Source organism: Homo sapiens, chromosome 11, assembly GCF_000001405.40.
Source record: "Homo sapiens chromosome 11, GRCh38.p14 Primary Assembly".
NCBI lineage: Eukaryota > Metazoa > Chordata > Mammalia > Primates > Hominidae > Homo > Homo sapiens.
This window is the reverse complement of record NC_000011.10, coordinates 5,457,128-5,472,242: the sequence shown is the minus strand read 5'-3', so window position 1 is coordinate 5,472,242 and position 15,115 is coordinate 5,457,128. Positions and strand designations below refer to the sequence as shown.

The window sequence follows — 15,115 nt, the reverse complement described above, 5'->3', positions numbered from 1 at the left end:
CTCCATTTCTCTCCCCACATGCACATCCCCCATCTAGTTGGTGCCTGAACTGCCACTATGCTGGCTTCGTGCTTGGAGCTTCACTGTGTGGTTCTGAGCGTGTACAGCTCTGGCTCAGAGGTGCATCTTCTGAAGCCTTTGTTTGGTGTGAATGCCTCAGTGCGATTAACTCATATGCCAATATTCTCATAGATGGTGGATAAAATGGTGAAACAAAAGAAGGGAACCTTTGATTGGGAAACTGAATGTGGGAAGACAGTTTGGAGATGGGATCCGGAACTTTCAGCCCCTCAATGTCCCTCTTTATCACAACTTTCCTAGTTGCCATTTATTCAGTACATCTTGTGCCGGGAGTCTGAATAAGCACCTTCAATGTTTACTTTGCATTACTCTTTCTATTCTAGAGATGTGAAAATAAGACGTGAGGAAGCTAAGTAAATTCACAGCTTGTATGTAGCAAAAGTGAAATAAAAACTCAGTTATTAGATGCTAGGGGAGCTATTTTTACTTACCTAAACAATTTTACAGTAAAAACATGTAGCTCTTATGTTAATACATTCTTCCTGTTAATAAAATGTTTTATTTGATCAATTTTTTTTTTTTTTTTGAGACAGAGTCTTGCTCTGTCACCCAGGCTGGAGTGCAATGGTGCGATCTCAGCTCACTGCAACCTCCACTTCCCGAGTTCAAGGGATTCTACTGCCTCAGACTCCCGAGTAACTGGGATTACAGTCATGTGTGACCACGCCTGGGTAGTTTTTATATTTTTAGTAGAGACGGGGTTTCACCATGTTGTCCAGGCTGGTCTCAAACTCCTGACCTCGTGATCCACCTGCCTCGGCCTCCCAAAGTGCTGGGATTACAGGTATGAGCCACTGTACCTGGCCTATTTGATCAATATTTTAACCATTAAAACTAGAACTGGTAATCTCTGAGTCCTAGTCTAGGGCTCTCTATGCCCTGTCACTTGCCTAAGCATTGAGAATAAAATGAGAAGAAACACAGACAGTTACAGGGAGTTATAAATTTTTGGGGAAACAAAGATACTAATCAAATAACTAAACAAGTACATAATAAATGCACTAAAATTTAAGCTGTGATAAGAAAAGTCACAAAGAAGAATATGTGTGAGTATGTACAGCAGCCAAAATTATGAGAAGAAATGAAATGAATGATCAGAATTATTGGAAGACGACAAGTTCTTATGTGGTCTTGCAGCTTCTATGATCCATGGTAAGGACTTGAATTTTTATTTCTTATTTCATAAGGTAAGTGAAGCCATTGATAGGTTTCTAGTAAAAGAGTAACATCACTTTATATTAAAAACAAATAATTTGGTTGCTTTGTGTCGAATGAATTAGACAGAGGCATGATACTAAGCTGGGTGATCCTCAGGAAGGTTCTGCAGATATTTTGGTTGAAGATGTTGAGGGATGAGTGACAGTTGGAAGTGAGATGGAGAGAGGAAACCAGCGTTTACGATGGATTAATAGACTTGTAAATAGGAGAGGGTGAGAAATATTAAGAATGACTTCCAGGGTTTTCTGGCATGACCACGTGAATAGATGGTGACTGGTGATGAGATGATAACTTTGAAGAGGATAAAACATGATAATTGACATAAAGTTCAATTTTGCACATTATGTTTAAGATGACAATGAACTCTTACATTTGGAAGTCCAGTTGGAAATTGGCTGCGTGAATACATATTGAGAAGAGAAGCCTGGGCAGCAGACATATATTTGGGATAATTGAGGCACAGAGCAGAGACATGGAGGACATTATGGGTAGACAATAATTTCCAAGGTATTAGTTGTGAAAGTGAGTGGAAAATGGGTGATTACTCAGAAGAAATGAGGGGGCAATTAAGAGGTTTGCTGAAGTTTGTGATTGTTTGTTTTCTACGATAGTAACTCCCAAAATTGATCCTCGGGGGGAAGAAGTGATAATGGGTGGGACATATTTGAATGCTGATAGGAGTGACCTAAATTCCTGATACTCACACTTGGCTGCACACGGGAATTGCCTATGAGTTTAAACACATGCTGATTTGTGAGTTCTACTTGCACAGTGTCAAATTTAATTGGTATAGGTTTCTTCTGAGGAAAGGAATATTTTAATGCTTCTTAAAATAATCTAGCATACAGCACAATTTGAGAATCTGTGGTCTAAACAGAGATTAAAACAAAATCCATGTTAAAATATAGAAAGGCAAAACCAAGAGAGTCAGGTGTGGAGGAATGTGACATTCTGGACCCTTGGTGAATAAGTGAGGGGTTCAAGCCACAAGGAAAAGGCAGAGAACTGAAATAATGCTTGAGTATAGGCAAGAGAGGAGAGACAGCTTAGAATATACACAAAAGATGTCATCACTTGCACAAGACAGAATCAATCAGTGGGTGGGAATATTAAGGAAAGACTTCATGGAGGACATGGTGCACCTCACTTATGGAAGAAACTGATGGCTATGACCCAGTAGAGAGAAAGGGGAAATCATTTTTCACCATTAGAGAAAGACGTCAACCAATGTAAAAAACTATATAGACACAAGAAAAATAAAGGATAATATCTAAAAATTAGTCAAAGGTTTCTATGGGGAAGAACCTGGAGCTCATGACAGATCTAAGGGTGCTGCCAGGCTATAGAAGGTCTGAAATGTAATCTGGTTTTTTTTGAACTTTCCAAATCTTTGGCACTGGAATCTAAGCATCATTGTCTCTCCTAGTTTTAGATATCAACCACTCCTAGTCTTCACTTCTCCCACCATCTCACCTCAATTCACCCAGGTTGCGTTTGCCTAAAAGTCACTCAGAAACCCTGATGGGGGGCTTTGGGACTAACATCTCAAGTACTACCAGCTTCACTCTAACAGGCTTCCCTGAGATGAAGGGTCTGGAGCACTGGCTGGCTGCCCTTCTGCTGCTGCTTTGTGCTATTTCCTTCCTGGGCAACATCCTCATCCTCTTTATCATAAAGGAAGAGCAGAGCTTGCACCAGCCAATGTACTACTTCCTGTCTCTTTTTTCTGTTAATGACCTGGGTGTGTCCTTTTCTACATTGCCCACTGTACTGGCTGCTGTGTGTTTTCATGCCCCAGAGACAACTTTTGATGCCTGCCTGGCCCAGACGTTCTTCATCCACTTTTCCTCCTGGACAGAGTTTGGCATCCTACTGGCCATGAGTTTTGACCACTATGTGGCCATCTGTAACCCGCTGCGCTATGCCACAGTGCTCACTGATGTCCGTGTGGCCCACAATGGCATATCCATTGTCATCCGCAGCTTCTGCATGGTATTCCCACTTCCCTTCCTCCTGAAGAGACTGCCTTTCTGTAAGGCCAGTGTGGTACTGGCCCATTCCTACTGTCTGCATGCAGACCTGATTCGGCTGCCCTGTGGAGACACTACCATCAACAGCATGTATGGCCTGTTCATTGTCATCTCTGCCTTTGGTGTAGATTCACTGCTCATCCTCCTCTCCTATGTGCTCATTCTACATTCTGTGCTGGCCATTGCCTCCAGGGGTGAGAGGCTTAAGACACTCAACACATGTGTGTCACATATCTATGCAGTGCTGATCTTCTATGTGCCTATGGTTAGTGTGTCCATGGTTCATCGATTTGGGAGGCATGCTCCTGAATATGTGCACAAGTTCATGTCTCTTTGTACCTCCAATGCTCTACCCAATTATCTATTCCATCAAGACTAAGGAGATTCGCAGGAGACTACACAAGATGTTATTGGGAGCTAAGTTCTGATCAAGGAAAACTGTCCTGGAAAGGCTTAGAGTTTCTTTGTTGTTGCTGATGTTTGGGTGTACCAGGTTAGTCCTTCGGAGCCTTTCAATCTCCCTCCAGACGTACACCTATAATTGTGTACCTGCCAGAAGTTATATGGGTTAGCCAGGCTACAACTTGTAACGCAAAACATCAGGCTGCCCTATGTTGTAATTAACTGTCACAGGTTGCCACAAGTGACTTCTCTCAGACCCAACAAGAAAGAGAGTCTTGAACTGAATCCTTTTTGTCCCAATGTACTAATAACATCTATGCTTTCAAGTAATTCTCAGAAACAGACAAAAACTAATGCATACATTCGTTATATAATGTTATAATGTAGATTATGTTACCTGAGATCATATCAACCCAGAATATTTAATCATTCTGAATATCTTTAAACTCAAAAACTAAAGATATGTAATAGCTGTGACCATGTTTACACTTCTGAAATAAATAAGAATAATCCAGAGTTCTGTAAAATGGAACAAAAATAGAAACCATACAACACATGGAATTCAGAAGTTTAGTACAAAGAAAAATGTTTTATAGAAAAGTCACATGCTGTCATCATTGGGCATGACTACAGAGAGGATTGAATGACTAGAGGCAGCTAATCAACACTCCAAATCGAAGCCTAACAGAGGTTGTTGATTGATGGGCTGGCAAGTCCACTTCAGTGGCAGTGGTTGCTTGGCAGCATAGTTGGCTGAAATATGGGCTCGTGTCCTGCAGTGAGCAACCCAGACAACAAGCTTAAGCACATGCCTGAGCAGAAGAGGGATAGCTGAAGGCTGTCAGCAAATTCACAGAGAAAGCCACAAAGAAAGAAATCCTCTGAAAAACCATGCCAAGAAGACACAACCCAGGCCACACAGGCAGGTGCACACTTAACAGATTTAAAAAGAATGATATGTGGACTTTAACTGGAGAGTAAACAGTTAGTGGACAGGCCATGGCATAACTCAACTCCAATGGATGATTAGGGAATGAAGACATGTAAGAAGAAAATTACTTTTTAAAAAGCAATAGCTAATAATTTTTTTTCCTCATAGGATCATGGAATAACTTTTTTAAAATAAAGCCATAGGGATCAAATAACATGATCATTTACTAAACATAGTTGCAGTATAGACTTGAATTTCTCCCAAACACCCCCTGAACGTCTCATTAAGCAACGAGGAGAGAAAAGCAAAACAAAATTAAAACTTACAGATGACATCTTTGGCAAAATCACATGACAGAAAAATCTTGCCCCCAATTGGAGAGGACTGTATACTAAGCAAAAATCTGGGCATATGGTTTTGAGATTGACTGGTGAAACTGGGAACAATACTTGCAGGCTCTAAGTGCTCATAAACATAAGAGGATAAAGAAGTGCTGTGGTGGTCCTCAGCATTTGAAAATCTCAAAAATGTCCAGCAAATGAGCTCTTCCAAAAGGATATAGCCTCAGCCCAAAGGAAAGTACATTAAGCAAATAAAGATCCACTTGCATAAGAGAGAAAGAAGGCTCTGATCGTAGAGGAAAGGGCTTAGAGAAAGCAGACACAAGAAAGTGATGCAACAGCTAAATACAGCTTCCCAAAACCTGTGGCGTTCTGGGGCTGGAACAGAAGGAAGCAGAATGTCCTCCTGGACCAGACTTCGCTCTGACACACAGAAGTGGCCTCAAAGAAAGTGCTACTTTGAGCCATTTGAACAGCAACAGAGGGACCCCTAGAGCTGCAAAGCTATAAAAGCTACTCTGCCATTGCCTCTCCCTTCAGAGGATCCCACAAGTCATCCCAGAAAGCTATACTTACTTATATAGAGAGACAAAAAAGAGATATGTGCTAATTCTATACACAGTTATGAGCAAAAATAAAAGACATCAATGACAAAGATGAATCCATGGCGCTCAGGGCCATGCTGATGATAGCAATCTCCCTCCTTTTTGTTTCAAGTCTTTTTTTTATTAATGCTAACATTTCAGTGTCTGCATCTAAATATCAGAAACCACATTACTGACTTCAATATTTTTTAGGCTTTTAAAAAATGCGTCCTTTCATTTCCACAGTAAAATTGGGAATTCTCATAATAAGGCATATGAATGGGAAGAGCGAGTACTTCTGCAACACTAAAAAGTATTCCTATCATTTATATCATCACATATATGTAAATATAGATATAGTTTTACTATTGTCTAATGAGTATTGCCTAATTCCCTAATTAACAGACTTATGAAAAAAGCCTCATCTTTATGAAATAAAATATATTTGTTCAAACTGGTAATATAAATATTTTACAGTGTATTGTCGTCTACGTAAATGATAAATTATCAACCTTCGCCCACTTTTTGATGGGGTTGTTTGTTTTTGTAAATTTGTTTGAGTTCATTGTAGATTCTGGATATTAGCCCTTTGTCAGATGAGTAGGTTGCAAAAATTTTCTCCCATTTTGTAGGTTGCCTGTTCACTCTGATGATAGTTTCTTTTGCTGTGCAGAAGCTCTTTAGTTTAATGAGATCCCATTTCTCAATTTTGTCTTTTGTTGCCATTGCTTTTGGTGTTTTGGACATGAAGTCCTTGCCCATGCCTGTGTCCTGAATGGTGATGCCTAGGTTTTCTTCTAGGGTTTTTATGGTTTTAGGTCTAACGTTTAAGTCTTTAATCCATCTTGAATTGATTTTTGTATAAGGTGTAAGGAAGGGATCCAGTTTCAGCTTTCTACATATGGCTAGCCAGTTTTCCCAGCACCATTTATTAAATAGGGAATCCTTTCTCCATTGCTTGTTTTTCTCAGGTTTGTCAAAGATCAGATAGTTGTAGATATGCGTCGTTATTTCTGAGGGCTCTGTTCTGTTCCATTGATCTATATCTCTGTTTTGGTACCAGTACCATGCTGTTTTGGTTACTGTAGCCTTGTAGTATAGTTTGAAGTCAGGTAGTGTGATGCCTCCAGCTTTGTTCTTTTGGCTTAGGATTGCCTTGGTGATGGGGGCTCTTTTTTGGTTCCATATGAACTTTAAAGTAGTTTTTTCCAATTCTGTGAAGAAAGTCATTGGTAGCTTGACACTTCTCAAAAGAAGACATTTATGCAGCCAAAAAACACATGAAAAAATGCTCACCATCACTGGCCATCAGAGAAATGCAAATCAAAACCACAATGAGATATCATCTCACACCAGTTAGAATGGCAATCATTAAAAAGTCAGGAAACAACAGGTGCTGGAGAGGATGTGGAGAAATAGGAACACTTTTTTTTTTTTTTTTTTTTTTTTTGAGACGGAGTCTCGCTCTGTCGCCCAGGCTGGAGTGCAGTGGCGGGATCTCGGCTCACTGCAAGCTCCGCCTCCCGGGTTCACGCCATTCTCCTGCCTCAGCCTCCCAAGTAGCTGGGACTACAGGCGCCCGCCACTACGCCCGGACAATTTTCTGTATTTTTAGTAGAGACGGGGTTTCACCGTTTTAGCCGGGATGGTCTCGATCTCCTGACCTCGCGATCCGCCCGCCTCGGCCTCCCAAAGTGCTGGGATTACAGGCGTGAGCCACCGCGCCCAGCCAATAGGAACACTTTTACACTGTTGGTGGGACTGTAAACTAGTTCAACCATTGTGGAAGTCAGTGTGGTGATTCCTCAGGGATCTAGAACTAGAAATACCATTTGACCCAGCCATCCCATTACTGGGTATATACCCAAAGGAATATAAATCTTGCTGCTGTAAAGACACATGCACACGTATGTTTATTGTGGCATTATTCACAATAGCAAAGACTTGGAACCAACCCAAATGTCCAACAATGATAGACTGAATTAAGAAAATGTGGCACATATACACCATGGAATACTATGCAGCCATAAAAAATGATGAGTTCATGTCCTTTGTAGGGACATGGATGAAATTGGAAATCATCATTCTCAGTAAACTATCGCAAGAACAAAAAACCAAACACCACATATTCTCACTCATAGGTGGGAACTGAACAATGAGATCACATGGACACAGGAAGGGGAATATCACACTCTGGGGACTATGGTGGGGTGGGTGGGGGGGAGGGATAGCATTGGGAGATATACCTAACGCTAGATGACGAGTTAGTGGGTGCAGCGCACCAGCATGGCACATGTATACATATGTAACTAACCTGCACAACGTGCACATGTACCCTAAAACTTAAAGTATAATTAAAAAATTATCAACCTTAACTTTCTAATTCTCAGATTTTTGTGTTAAAATCACCCAATGCATTTTGTGTTCACAATATATTTGCTTTTTCAAATATAGAAAAACCCACTTGGCAAATGATTAAGTTCTACTCTGTTTAAAATTCACTGAATAATTTGTCCCAGTCAGAGACATTAGGTTTAGCTATTAAGACTAATTAAAAACTGACTGCCAGTCATAGTTGCTTATTGTCTGTTTTCCATCATAAAAAAGCAATTTCCCCAGCTTGTAGTTCTGGGGTATTTGCCTTAAATACATAGCACTGTGGTTGGTTCTAAGCTGTTGTTCTGTCCTCATACAGTTGACATGAACATTAACACGTCCACCAGTAACACACTGCCCTCACAGTGCAGCCATTCAAATCATGGTGAGGCTTTGTGAGAAGGAATTTAAAAGCATTTTAAAAGGAATATTTGGTTAGCAAACAAATCTCAGGATATGTTGACATATCCCTCCTGTATCTCTTTAGACAGGTTTCTCCCATAAAACCTAATGACTAAATCCCAGGGTCACTGAGTCCTTCAAATGTAACACTGGGATTGGCAAATAGTAGGTTTCAATAAATATTGTCTTGTGAACAAAATAAATGAATGAGCTGTTATATTCCTTATAAACAAACAAACAAAAACCTAAACAAAGCTGGGAGGAAAAATACATAACCACCAGAATTATATCCACTCCCCAAAATATCTTCAGTGTTTTAAAACTGGGATTGAGTAAAAGATAGTGACGAAATATCTCTGCTAGGAAGAATGAAGGTTGAGAAACACTTTAGGGAGAGTATCTTGATTAACATGGCTGGCAGTAAATGATATATCAAGGTGGTCCGATAGCCAGTACTGCTGTTTGCATTTCTATTAGTTGAGATCAGTATGTCATCCATACCTTTAATAAAGCCTATCACACACCAATGCCTTGGATAAGTTACACATGCCTCCAGAAATCTGTAGAAAGTTTGGCTGGCAATTATACTTTACACTTGAAGAGTACTGGAGGCTTGTGCAACTATTTATTTGTGCAAATATTTATTGTCAACTGACGCCTGAATTGTACATGTACAAATCAAATGAACTAATTAATTGCCTATTCAATGGATAATTTATTCTATTTCATACATATTTTTGGCGGAGAAGTCTTCCATGCATAATGGAAACAAAGAAAAATCCTTTATACATATGAATGAAACCACACCCACCTACCCCTAATACGACAAAACAATGAGACCAAATCTTGATTTCTGACATAAGTGTCGAGTTACTATTTGCTTAATAGTCCTCCTATTCCCTGCAGAGGGTAATTTTTTGGAACAGATTCTTGATTAGTTTTTTGATGTTAGGAAGATGAGAATTCACAAAGTAACTGATGACTTCATACACTGTATGCTGTTTCTAGGAATCCTGAAAGCATTTACGAGCAAATGCTCTCCTCAGTTGTCTGGAGGGCATCTGGTTGCCTGTGTTCAAATGTACAAGCACCTACAAGTAGATTACTTCTTATCTGAGAATGAAATTAAACAACAGAGGGTCCTGAGTCCAAAGTAGTGCATCAGCCCAGGTAGAAAAGTGTCCAGTTGATAATGGAATATTGGATATCCTCCTGATGAGGAAGTGCCCTTGCTGCACATTACTCAACTCAGAGGATAAACTCTGTGCCTCTGCTGCCATTTGTCGTTTTTTAAAACACTATCTGGGTGAAGAGAACTTCTCATCCAACTGAACTATAACCACAAGAGCAAAGAAGTTCTTGCCATAGTAGAGCCCATCAGGTCTGTAGGTGGCTTAATTGAGGTAGGTCAGGACCTCTTTGTGGTAATCAGAAAATGAGGCTGATGGTCAGCCATCCTAGGGACATACACTCTTCTACCAAGTTCTCCTTTCGCCTTTCCCCTCTTCCCTGAGTTCACACAGAAATTAATTCCATAAAACTCTGAGCAACATGGATTTGTATTTTTTTCATTCTGCATTAGATTCTAGTTCTCTTAACCCTTCTGTTGGTCTTGCCCATGAAACAGAGAGAGCAAGAATTTCATCCTACTATAATTATTCTGAGTGTCTCCTCCCTCTCTCCTCACCAACCTACCCAGCACTGGCCCTGGAGGACGAGAAACATACCCATGACAGGGCAAGACAAAAGCATTACTTTATTATTCACATATTTTTTCCACACACCTTAAACCTATGTTCAGTATTTGATTTTCTTGTGTTGTTAGAGGAAGGCCTAACGAGCCTAAAAAATAGAAGTACAAATTTTCTTTGATTGGGGAGAGAGCCATGATGGTTAACTAGCCACAGCCAGGAGGAGCTTCTCCCATGAAGAGACCAGATCATCAAGAGACCAACACACACTGAACAGATCTTCGGAAAGAAGGCATCCAGAGTGGATACAGGAGGATGCTGAAACAGGCAGAAGCTGGAAAGCCTGTATGGGGTAGTCGAGCACCAGGACTCCTTTCTGGCCCTGAGTGCTGGTAGGGACGGGATGAGAAACATAGGCATGTAGTGACCCACTCTTGCCACAGACCTTCAGGATCCTACCTGCAGGAGAACCCACAATCCCCATGGGCATTTTAATTGGCAGGGAGAACTGCCCAGAGAGTTGACAGAGACAGAACTCCAGTCTGTGCAAGGCCCAAGGGGTTTGGCATGGGAAAGGCTGCAGTGGAGTATGGCCATGGATGCCCATTACCCCAAAGCTTGCCACACTCCTGTAGGTGACTTTAGCCTTAGTTAGCAGGGAGACCTGGAGAGAGCAGAGCTCTCTTGCCCACGGGACAGGGCAAGTCTGATCTGAATGAGCCCCAGTCTGCCAGCCTCTCCCAGGGTCTCCACCTGGCCTTACCAGCTTGCAGTGCAGTCTCAGCTGTCCTGCCAAAATGCTTGCCAGTGGCTGCTGCCATAGCTCTTTTGCTAGCAACCCCCGCCCTCGGAACACTTTTGCAGATAGATCCTTGCAGGTGTGCACCTGCCTGCAGCCTTCCCCGCCGGCGCGCCTCGCCTCCACCCCCTGGCCTGCAGCCTCTCAACATGAATAGGAAGACCCACCATCGCCCGAGCAGTGCACATGAGCACTGGGGACCCCAGTCATCCCATTGGCATGCACTCACCAGGGCCCTCACTTGCCACCCCATCAGTGGGTGATCCGCTTGTGCACCCTCACACGCAGCCCCCCAGCTGCAGCCAGCACACACGTGCCCCCATGCCACCATGCCGTAGGGCAATCTCCCCCTCAACTACTGCCTGGCCACAGCTCTTTTGCTGGCAGCCCCTGTCAGAGTGTTGTTGCCAGTGAGCTGGGAGCACCTTGGCCCCTCCAGTGCAACAGGTGCTTGACCTCGAAAGGCCAGAAAACAAAGCCAGAGGCTTGGTCCCAGACCCCCAGGGTTACAGCATGTAGGCCAAGAGTGCTGAGCTGAACCTTGGCCCTTTGAAAGCATCTACCAACAAAGGCAATCAACTAAACCAAACTTATATCACATTTAAATCATCAAAGGCATCAAAGAATATGAAAGCAAAAGCCCTGTTGAAAGGATAGCAACTTCAAAGATTAAGGGAACATCAGCCAACGCAGAGAAAGAACCAGGGAAAGAATTCTGGTAACTCTAAAGGCCAGAGTGTCGTCTTACCTACCAGTGACTGAACCAGCTCCCCCAGCAATGGTTCTTAACCTGATTGAAATGGCTAAAATGACAGATAAAGAATTCAGAATCTGATGGCAAGGAAGCTCAATGAGATACTGAAGAAGGTTGAAACACAGTTCAAGGAAAGCAGTAAAATGACTCGAGTTGAAAGATGACACAGCCATTTTAAGAACAAACCAAACTGAACTTCTAGAAATAAAAAATTCAGTAGAAGAATTTCTTTTTTCAAAACTTTTACGTTCAAGGGTACATGTGCAGGTTTGTTATATAGGTAAACTTGAGTCATGGGAATTTATTCTACAAATTATTTTGTCACCAAGGTACTATGCCTAGTACCCAATAGTTAATTCTTTTTGATCCTCTCCCTCTTCACATCCTTCACCCTCCAGTAGGCCCCAGTATCTGTTGTTCCCTTCTCTGTGTCCATGTGTTTTCATCATTTAGCTCCCACTTATAGGTGAGAACATGTGGTTTTCTGTTTCTGCATTAGTTTGCTAAGAATAATGGCCTTTAGCTCCATTCATGTTTCTGAAAAGGACATGATCTCATGATCTTATTTTTTATGGCTTTATTTTTTATTGCTGTGTAGAATTCCATGGTGTATATGTTTGATATTTTCATTATCCAGTATACCATTGATGGGCATTTGGGTTGATTCCATGTCTTTGCTATTGGGAATAGTGCTGCAGTGAACATACACATGTGTTTTTATGGTAGAACAATTTATATACCTTTGGGTATATACCCAGTAGTAGGATTAATGGGTTGAATGGTTGTCCTGTTTTTAGCTCTTTGAGGAATCACCACACTGCTTTCCACAATGGTTGAACTAATTTACACTCCCACCAACAGTGCATAAGCATTCCCTTTTCTCCACAACCTCGCCAGCATCTGTTCTTTTTTGACTTTTTAATACTAGCCATTTAGACTGATGGGAGATGGCATCCCATTGTGGTTTTGACTTGCATTTCCCTAAAGATCAGTGATACTGGGCTTTTATTTCACATGCTTCTTGGCCACCTGTATATCTTCTTTTGAGAAGTGTCTGTTCATGTCTTTTGCCCACTTTTTAATGGTTTTTATTTTCTTGTAGATTTGTTTAGCACAGAAGAAAATATCTGCAAAGCATACATCTGACAAAAGTCATTCTATGAGGCCAGTGTCATCCTGATAACAAAACCTGGCAGAGATACAATATATTCCTGATGAAACTAGCAGGCCAATATTCCTGATAAAAATAGATGAAAAAAATCCTCAACAAAATGCTAGCAAACTTAATCCAGCAGCACATCAAAGAGCTAATCCCCTATAAGCAAGTTCGCTTTATGTTCCTGGGATGCAAGGCTGGTTCAACCTACACAGATCAATAAATGTGATTCATCTCTTTAACAGAACTAAAAGCAAAGACCATGTAACCATCTCAATAGAGACAGAAAAGGCTTTTGACATAATTCAGCATCCTTTTATACTAAAAACACTCAATAAACTAGGTATTGAAGGATTATACCTCAAAATAATAAGAACTGTCTATGAGAAACTAACAGCCAACATCATACTAAATGGGCAAAAGCTAGAAGCATTCCTTTTGAGAACTGAAACAAAGCAAGGCTGTCCACTTTTACCACTCTTACTCTGCATAGTATTGGAAGTCCTAGCCAGAGCGTCAAGCAAGAGAAAGAAATAAAAGGCATCCAAATGGGCAGAGAGGAAGTTAAACTATCCCTATTTTCAAATGACATGTTTCTATACCTAGAAAATCCCATAGTCTTTGCCTATAGGCTCCTAGATCTGATAAACAATTTCAGCGAAAATTTAAGACAAATTGATATACAAAAATCAGTAGCATTTCTACATATCAATAACATCCAAGTTGAGAGCCACATCAAGAAGTCAGTCCCAATCAAAATAGTTACAAAAAGAATAAAATACCTAGGATTACAGTTAACGGTGCAGGTGAATGATCTCTACAATGAGAATTACAAAGCACTGTTGAAAGAAATCAGAGAGGACACAAACAAATGGGAAAACATTTCATGCCCGTGGATAGGAAGAATCAATTTTGTTAAAATAACCACACTGCCCAAAGCAATTCAGAGATTCAACATTATTCCTATCAAACTACCAACATCTTCTCAGAATTAGGGAAACTATTCTAAAATTCATATAAAACAAACAAAAAAGAATGCAAAGAGCCAAAGCGTTCCTAAACAAAAATAACAAAACCAGAGGCATCACATCACCTGATTTCAAACTATACTATAAGGCTACTGTAAGCAAAGCAGCATTTTACTGGTACAAATAGACAAATGGAACAGGTTAGAGAAACCAGAAACAAAGCCACACACCTACAACCATCTGATCTTTGACAAAGTCAACAATAACAAGGAGTGGGCAAAAGACTCCTTATTCAATACACAGTGCTGGGCTAACTGGCTAACCATACCCAGTAGATTGAAACTGGACCTCTTCCTTTCATCATACACAAAAATCAATTCAAAATAAATTAAAAACTTAAGCATAATATTATAACTAAAACTATAAAAATCCTAGAATAAAACCTAGGAAATACCATTCTGGACAAAGGCCTTGGGAAATATTTCATGATGAAATCTCCAAAAGCCGTTGCAACAAAACAAAAATATACAAGTAGGAACTCATTAAACTAAAGACCTTTGGCACAGCAAAAGAAGCTATCAATAGACTGAATAGACAACATACAGAATGGGAGTGAATACTTCCAAACTATGGACCTGACAAATGTCTAATATCCAGAATCTATAAACAGTTTAAATCAACATGTAAAACACATAACTCCATTAAAAATGGGCAAAGGACATAAAGATATCCTTCTCAAAAGAAGACATATACGTGGCCAACAAGCATATAAAGGAATGCTCAGCATTATTAATCATTAGAGAAATGCAAATGAAAACCTCAATGAGATATCATCTCATACCAGTGAGAAATGACTATTACTAAAAAGTAAAAAAATTACAGATGCTGGTGAGGTTGCAGAGAAAATGGAACACTTATACTCTGTTGGTGGGAATGTAAATTAGTTCAGCCACTGTGGAAAGAAGTTTGGATATTTCTCACATAACTTAGAGCTACCCATTGACCCCAAAATCCTATTACTATATACCCAAAGGAGTATAAATCATTCTACCAAAAAGACACATACGCTTGTATGTTCATTGCAGCAGTATTCACAATAGCAAAGACATGAAATCAAGGTGCCCTTCAGCAGTGGACTGGTTAAAGAAAATGTGGTACATATATACCATGGAATACTATGTAGCCATAAAAAGAACAAAATCATGTCCTTTGCAGCTACATGGATGCGGCTTGAGGCCATTATCCTAGGTGAATTAATGCATGAACAGAAAACCAAAACCACCTCTTTTCACATATAAGGGGGAGTAAAACTTTGAATACACATGGACACAAAGATAGGAACAGCAGACACTCAGGCCTACTTGAAGGGGCATTGTGGGAAG

The 15,115-nt window shown here is 40.5% G+C and overlaps 1 protein-coding gene and 1 pseudogene across 2 annotated transcripts in view; both read left to right on the top strand.

Annotated features, from left to right (window-relative positions):
• Positions 1-15,115, top strand: part of OR51B5 (olfactory receptor family 51 subfamily B member 5) — a 165,335-nt gene that overhangs the window by 33,410 nt on the left and 116,810 nt on the right. The window lies entirely within an intron of this gene.
• On the top strand, positions 2,884-3,739 carry OR51A10P (olfactory receptor family 51 subfamily A member 10 pseudogene; annotated as a pseudogene).